Genomic DNA, 6,730 nt, shown 5'->3' on the forward strand with positions numbered 1-6,730 from the left:
CCACCATGCATGGCTAATTTTTGTGTATTTTTAGTAGAGACAGGGTTTCACCATGTTGGCCAGGCTGGTCTTGAACTCCTGACCTCAGGTAATCCACCTACCTCAGTCTCCCAAGAGCTGGGATTATGGGTGTGAGCCACTACGCAGGGACTGCCTGCCTGCCTTCCTTCCTTCCAAGGCAGGAGGATCACCTGAGGTCAGGAGTTTGAGATCAACCTGGCCAACATGGTGAAACTCTGTCTCTACTAAAAATGCAAAAATTAGCTGGGTGTGGCAGTGGGCGCCTATAATCCCAACTACTCGGGAGGCTGAGGCAGGAGAGTCGCTTGAACCCAGGAGGTGAAGGTTGCAGTGAGTCAAGATCGCGCCACTGCACTCCAGCCTGGGCCACAAGAGTGAAACTCCATCTCAAAAAAACAAAATAGACATTTGAGTTCTAAAAAACAGGCATTCTAGTTTGAAGATACTCCAACTAAAACTTCAATGAACATTCTTGTGCAGTTTTTTTTGTTTGTTTTCTTTAATATAGGGTCTCGTTGTGTCACCCAGGCCGGAGTGCAGTGGTGTGATCATGGCTCACTGTTGCTTCAACCTCCCCGGCTCAAGCGCTCCTTTCCTCAGCCCCATAAGTAGCTGGGACTACAGGTGCACACCACCATGCCCAGCTAGTTTTTGTATTTTTTTGTAGAGATGGGGTTTCGCCATGTTGCCTAGGCTAGCCTTACACTCCTGAGCTCAGGAGATCCTTCTGCCTCAGCCTCCCGAAGTGCTGGGATTACAGGCGTGAGCCACTGTGTCTGGCCTTCTTGTATAGGTTTTTTGATGGACATGTGCTCTTGTTTCTGTTGAGTATTTATCTAGGAGTGAAATTGCTGGTGGCTCTAGATTTAGCTTTGGTTTTCTAAAGTGGTTGAACCAATTTATACACCTCCCAGTAATGCATGAGGGTTCCAGTTACTCCCCGTTCCCACCAACATTCAGTATGGTTGTTGCTTCCCATCTTAGCCATTCTGGTGGCTGTGCAGTGATATCGCACTGAGGTTTCAATTTGAATATGCATATTTTATTATGAAAGTAATATATTTTTATATATGTAGAAAATTTAGGCCGGGAGTGGTAGCTCACGCCTGTAATCCCAGCACTTTGGGAGGCCAAGGTGGGTGGATCACCTGAGGTCAGGAGTTCGAGACCAGCCTGACCAACATGGAGAAACCCCGTCTCTACTAAAAATACAAAATTAGCCAGGCGTGGTGGCAGGTGCCTGTAATCCCAGCTACTCAGGAGGCTGAGGCAGGAGAATTGCTTGAACCTGGGAGGTGGAGGTTGCGGTGAGCCAAGATCGTGCCATTGCACTCTAGCCTGGACAACAAGAGTGAAACTCTGCCTCAAAAAAAAAAAAAAAGAAATGAAAAAGAAAAGAAAACTTAAAAAGTGCAGGAAAGAATAAACTAAATATCATTTGTACCCTATCATCCTCTCCCCTCCACCAAGCTCCATTGGATTGAAGTATTTATGTACAATGTTAAGGTTGTACTGATTTATACTTCCAGCATCCATGTATCCCTTTTTTATCCTGAACTGGGATTATTTTAAAAGTTGTCAATTTTGGTATCTCCTTATGGTTTTATTTATTATTTCTTTTATTTCTATTGAAATTGGACTTTAAAAAATTTTCAGGTGGTAGTGTGCACCTGAAGTCCTAGCTACTGGGGAGGCTGAGGCAGGAGAATTGCTTGAGCCCAGGAGTTCAAGGCTGCAGTGAGCTATGATTGCACCACAGCACTCTAGCCTGGGTGACAGAGCAATGTATATCAAATGTATTACATATTTTTTATTTATTATATTATATACATATACATTTTTATTGTTGTTGTTGTTTTCTTGAGACAGAGTTTCACTCTTGTTACCCAAGCTGGAGTGCAATGGTGAGATCTGTGCTCACTGCAACCTCTGCCTCCTGGGTTCAAGTGATTCTCCTGTCTCGGCCTCCCGAGTAGCTGGGATTACAGGCACGTGCCACCACGCCTGGATAATTTTTTGTATTTTTTTAGTAGAGTTGGGGTTTCACCATGTTGGCCAGGCTGGTCTTGAACTCCTGACCTCGTGATTTGCCTTGCCCTCCCAAAGTGCTGGGATTACAGGTGTGAGTCACCGTGCCCAGCATTATATATATATATATTTTAAAAGGCTGGGCGTGGTAGCTCACACCTGTAATCACAGCATTTTGGGAGGCTGAGGCAGGCTTGCTTGAGGCCAGGAGTTTGAGACCAGCCTGGGCAATGTAGTGAGTTTAAAAAAAATTTTTTTTAATTTTATTGCTCTTTATATTGTAGTGTATTTTATTTTATTTTATTTATTTTGAGATGGAGTCTCGCTCTGTCACCCAGGCTGGAGTGCAATGGCGTGATCTTGGCTCACTGCAACCACTGCCTCCCACGTTCAAGTAATTCTCCTGTCTCAGCCTTCTGAGTAGCTGGGATTACAGGCACGCACCACCATGCCGGGTTAATTTTTGTATTTTTAGTAGAGACGGGATTTCACTACGTTGGTCAGGCTGGTCTCGAACTCCTGACCTCATGATCTGCCCGCCTCGGCCTCCCAAAGTGCTGGGATTACAGGCGTGAGCCACCACACCTGGCCTATATTACCTTTTAAATAAATTGTCTCATTTCCTTTGATGAAACAGATTTTTATCATCACACCTAATGAAACAGCATAAAAAATAGTTTACATGGTAATCTCATAAATTAGTAGATATGCAAACATTCTAAATAAAATTTTAGCAATCAGAATATAGTATAAATTTTAATAAAGTATAATTTTTAAAGGAATTTTAAAGGTGTGGTAGCTCACACCTGTAATCCCAAAAGTGTGAGAGGCTGAGGCGCAAGAATCGATTGAGCTCTGGAGTTCCATACCTGGGCAACATAGCAGACCTCATCTGTACTAAAAATAGTCCCAGCTACTCTGGAAACTGAGGCGGGAGGATTGCTTGAGCTCGGGAGATTGAGATCAGTGCTATCATCATGCCACTGCAGTCCACCCTGGGTGACAGAGTAAGACCCTGTCTCAAAAAAGAAGAAAAAAAGAACATGTACTTTTTAACCAATTCTGTTTTTGAACTTATTTCAAATGGTCTTTCATTTTTGTTTTTCTGTCACTTATAAACATCCCCCACTAAAGCTCAATTTTCCACATAACCAATAATATTATTGGAAAAAATTCATATAATTATTTCCACAAATGCCAGAGGGAATTCTTCATGGAAACTCTCCCTAAAAGCAATAAAAGGTTGCCTCTTTAACATGACAAAAAGGCTCTATTGAAAACCAAAAGTCAAAATTACACTTAATGGAGAACATGAATTATTCCTCTTTAAAATAGGAACAAGACAAGGATATCTTATTACTACTATTCAACGTAGCTCTAAAAATTCTGACAAAGCTATTTGAGAAGAGAAAGAAAGATATACATAAAGAAAAGGAAGAAATAAAATGATCATGTTATGCAAATGAAATGAAAAGCACCTCAAAATTACTAGAGATAATAAATGAAGGCATCAAAGAAACAAGATATAATACAAATTAATTTAGGACAATTTTCCTCTTGATAATAGTGCATTTCTCATTTTTGTTCTTTCTTTCCATGCATCCCTTTCTGTTTTTATTCTTAAAGCTTCATGATTTTACAATTTATAAGTCCTGAACATTTTGTGTTAATCTTTTCTCAGATATTTTAAAGATTTTTTAATCGCTTTTATAAATGGAATTTTTTTTGACATTACATGTACTTTATTTTTCTTAAGTGTTTAAAATAAGGCATTTCGGCCAGGCACGGTCGCTCACGCCTGTAATCCTAGCACTTTGGGAGGCTGAGGCCTCCTCAGGTGGATCACCTGACGTCAGGAGTTCGAGATGAGCCTGGCCAACATGGTGAAGCCCTGTCTCCACTAAAAATACAAAAATTAGCTGGGCATGGTGGCATACACCTGTAATCCCAGCTACTTGGGAGGCTGAGGCAGGAAAATCGCTTGAACCCAGGAGGCGGAGGTAGCAATGATCCGAGATCGTGCCACGGAACTCCAGCTTGAGCAACAGAGACAGACTCTGCCTCAAAAAGAAAAAAAAAAAGGCATTTCTTTTGTAATCTAATTATAACATTTGCAGTTATTTGGAATTGTCTTTCATTTCTGTTTTTCTGTCACTTATAAACATCAGTCATTCACAATGACTAATGATAGAGGTACATCACGTAAGTATAGATGTAAAGTATTGTTTAAGAAAGCTTAGGTATTTATTTTTCGGGCTTTCATGTTGTTATGCTGTTCCTACTCTTCTTCTTCTTCTGTTTTTGTTTTGTTTTGTTTTGTTTTTTTGAGAAAGAGTCTTGCTCTGTTGTCCAGACTGGAGTGCAGTGGTGCAATCTTGGCTCACTGCAACCTCCGCCTCCCATGTTCAAGCGATTCTCCTGCCTCAGCCTCCTGAGTAGCTGGGATTACAGGCATGCGCCACCATGCCAGGCTAATTTTTGTATTCTTAGTAGAGACAGGGTTTTGCCATATTGGCCAGGGTGGTCTTGAACTCTGACCTCAGGTGATCCACCTGCCTCGGGCTCCTAAAGTGCTGGGACTACAGGTGTGAGCCACTGGGCCCAGCCTGTTCCCATTTTTCCATTGTTCTTCTCCTCCCCTCATTTTCTTTTTCTTTTTTTTTTCTTCTTTGAGACGGAGTCTCAGTCTGTCGCCCAGGCTGGAGTGCAGTGGCACGACTTGGCTCACTGCAACCTCCGCCTCCCGGGTTCACACCATTCTCCTGCCTCAGCCTCCCGAGTAGCTGCGACTATAAGCGCCTGCCACCACGCCCGGCTAAATTTTTTTTGTATTTTTAATAGAGACGGGGTTTCACTATGTTGGTCAGGCTGGTCTCGAACCCCTGACCTCTTGATCCACTCGCCTCGGCCTCCCAAAGTGCTGGGATTACAGGCGTGAGCCACCGCACCCGGACCCTCCTCTCATTTTCTTTTCTGGTGTCTTGAACCAGGTAACTGGGAGGCATATTAAGGGGTTTTAAATTTAGGTAATAAAACAAATCACTAGTTCCTGGTATACAGCACTAGATTTGGTTACAGAAGTTTTTGCTAACCATTACCTCTGGTTTCAGGCAGTTGTCAGGTGACTGGCCTCAGGATAACATATTGCTCTATGTATTGCTATGTGACAAACCACCCCAAAACTTCGTGGCTTCAGCAAAAATATGTGATTGTTGCTCATGGTTCTGTGGGTTGCTGGACTTAACCTGATAACTCTCACTCAGGATTTGCAGTGTCAGCCAATCTGAAGCCTCAACTCCGCTGGACAGTCTGGGATCTGATGCTATCTTCAAGTGGATAGTGTCAGAATTGAATTGAATTATTGACACCCAGCTAGTATCTGCTGCAGAACTGCTTGATGTGTGGGGACCTCTCACTCCAACACACACACACACACACACATATTTTGGTGTCAGAAACATCATAAGTGTTGATATTTCCTATCTCAAATAGTAGCCACCTTTGGAGACTATCTACTGCACTTACATGAGTTGCAAAACTACTTGAGACAGAACCAGGCCAACGAGGGATAGTTGTTTTTTTGTTTGTTTGTTTGCTTTGTTTTTTGTTTTGTTCTGAGATGGAGTTTCCCTCTTGTTGCCCAGGCTGGAGTGCAATGATGTGATCTCGCCTCACCACAACCTCCACCTCCTGTGTTCAAGCGATTCTCCTGCCTCAGATTCCTGAGTAGCTGGGATTACAGGCATGCGCCACCACGCAAGGCTAATTTTTGTATTATTGATGGAGATGGGGTTTCTCCATGTTGGTCAGTGGTCTCGAACTCCCGACCTCAGGTGATCTGCTTGCCTCCGCCTCCCAAAGTGCTGGGATTACAGGCGTGAGCCACCGCACCTGGCCCAATAGTTTTTATTTATTTACTTGTTTATTATTTTTTCTTTTCTTTTCTTTTTTTCTTGAAACAGAGTCTCATTCTGTTGCCCAGGCTGGAGTGCAGTTCACGGATCACTCCAGCCTCAACCTCCCGGCTCAAGCTATCCTTCTGTCTCAGCTCCCCCCAAATTCCCCCACAGCCGGGACAACAGGCGTGCATCACCATGCCCGGCTAATTTTTACAATTTTTGTATAGTTAGGGGTCTCAGTATATTGCCCAGGCTGGTCTCGAAGTCCTGGACTCAAGCAATCTTCTCCCCTTGGCCTCCCAAAGTGCTGGGATTACAGGCTTTTTTTTTTTTGGAGACAGAGTCTCGCTCTGACGCCCAGGCTGGAGTGCAGTGGCAAGATCTCAGCTCACTGCAACCTCCGCCTCCTGGGTTCAAACGATTCTCCTGCTTCAGCCTCCCGAGTAGCTGGAATTACAGGTGTCCACCACCATGCCCTGCTAATTTTTGTATTTTTAGTAGGGATGGGGTTTCACCATGTTGGCCATGCTGGTCTCGAACTCCTGACCTCAGGTGATCCACCTGCCTTGACCTCCCGAAGTGCTGGGATTATAGGCGTGAGCCACTGCGCCCAGCCTGGATAGTTTTTTATTTGCAGTGTACAATGTTTTCTAGTCCAGTGCTTCACAGGCCTCTGTGAATACAAATTGCCTGCGGATCTTGTTCAAATGCAGATTCTGATTCAGTGGATCTGGGAAACCATCCTCAGTCGGTTCTTGACTATTTAAACAAAAACTGGGAAA

The 6,730-nt window shown here is 43.6% G+C and overlaps 1 annotated feature.

Moving 5' to 3' along the window:
• Positions 5,216–5,416: a silencer, noted in NCBI's record as "peak2715 fragment used in MPRA reporter construct". NCBI's record gives its function as "represses an SCP1 promoter by STARR-seq MPRAs in K562 erythroleukemia cells {active_cell/tissue: K562}" and the evidence as "EXISTENCE:reporter gene assay evidence [ECO:0000049][PMID:32103011]".

The sequence above is a fragment of the Homo sapiens genome, chromosome 17 (genome assembly GCF_000001405.40).
Source record: "Homo sapiens chromosome 17, GRCh38.p14 Primary Assembly".
Taxonomy (NCBI): Eukaryota; Metazoa; Chordata; class Mammalia; order Primates; family Hominidae; genus Homo; species Homo sapiens.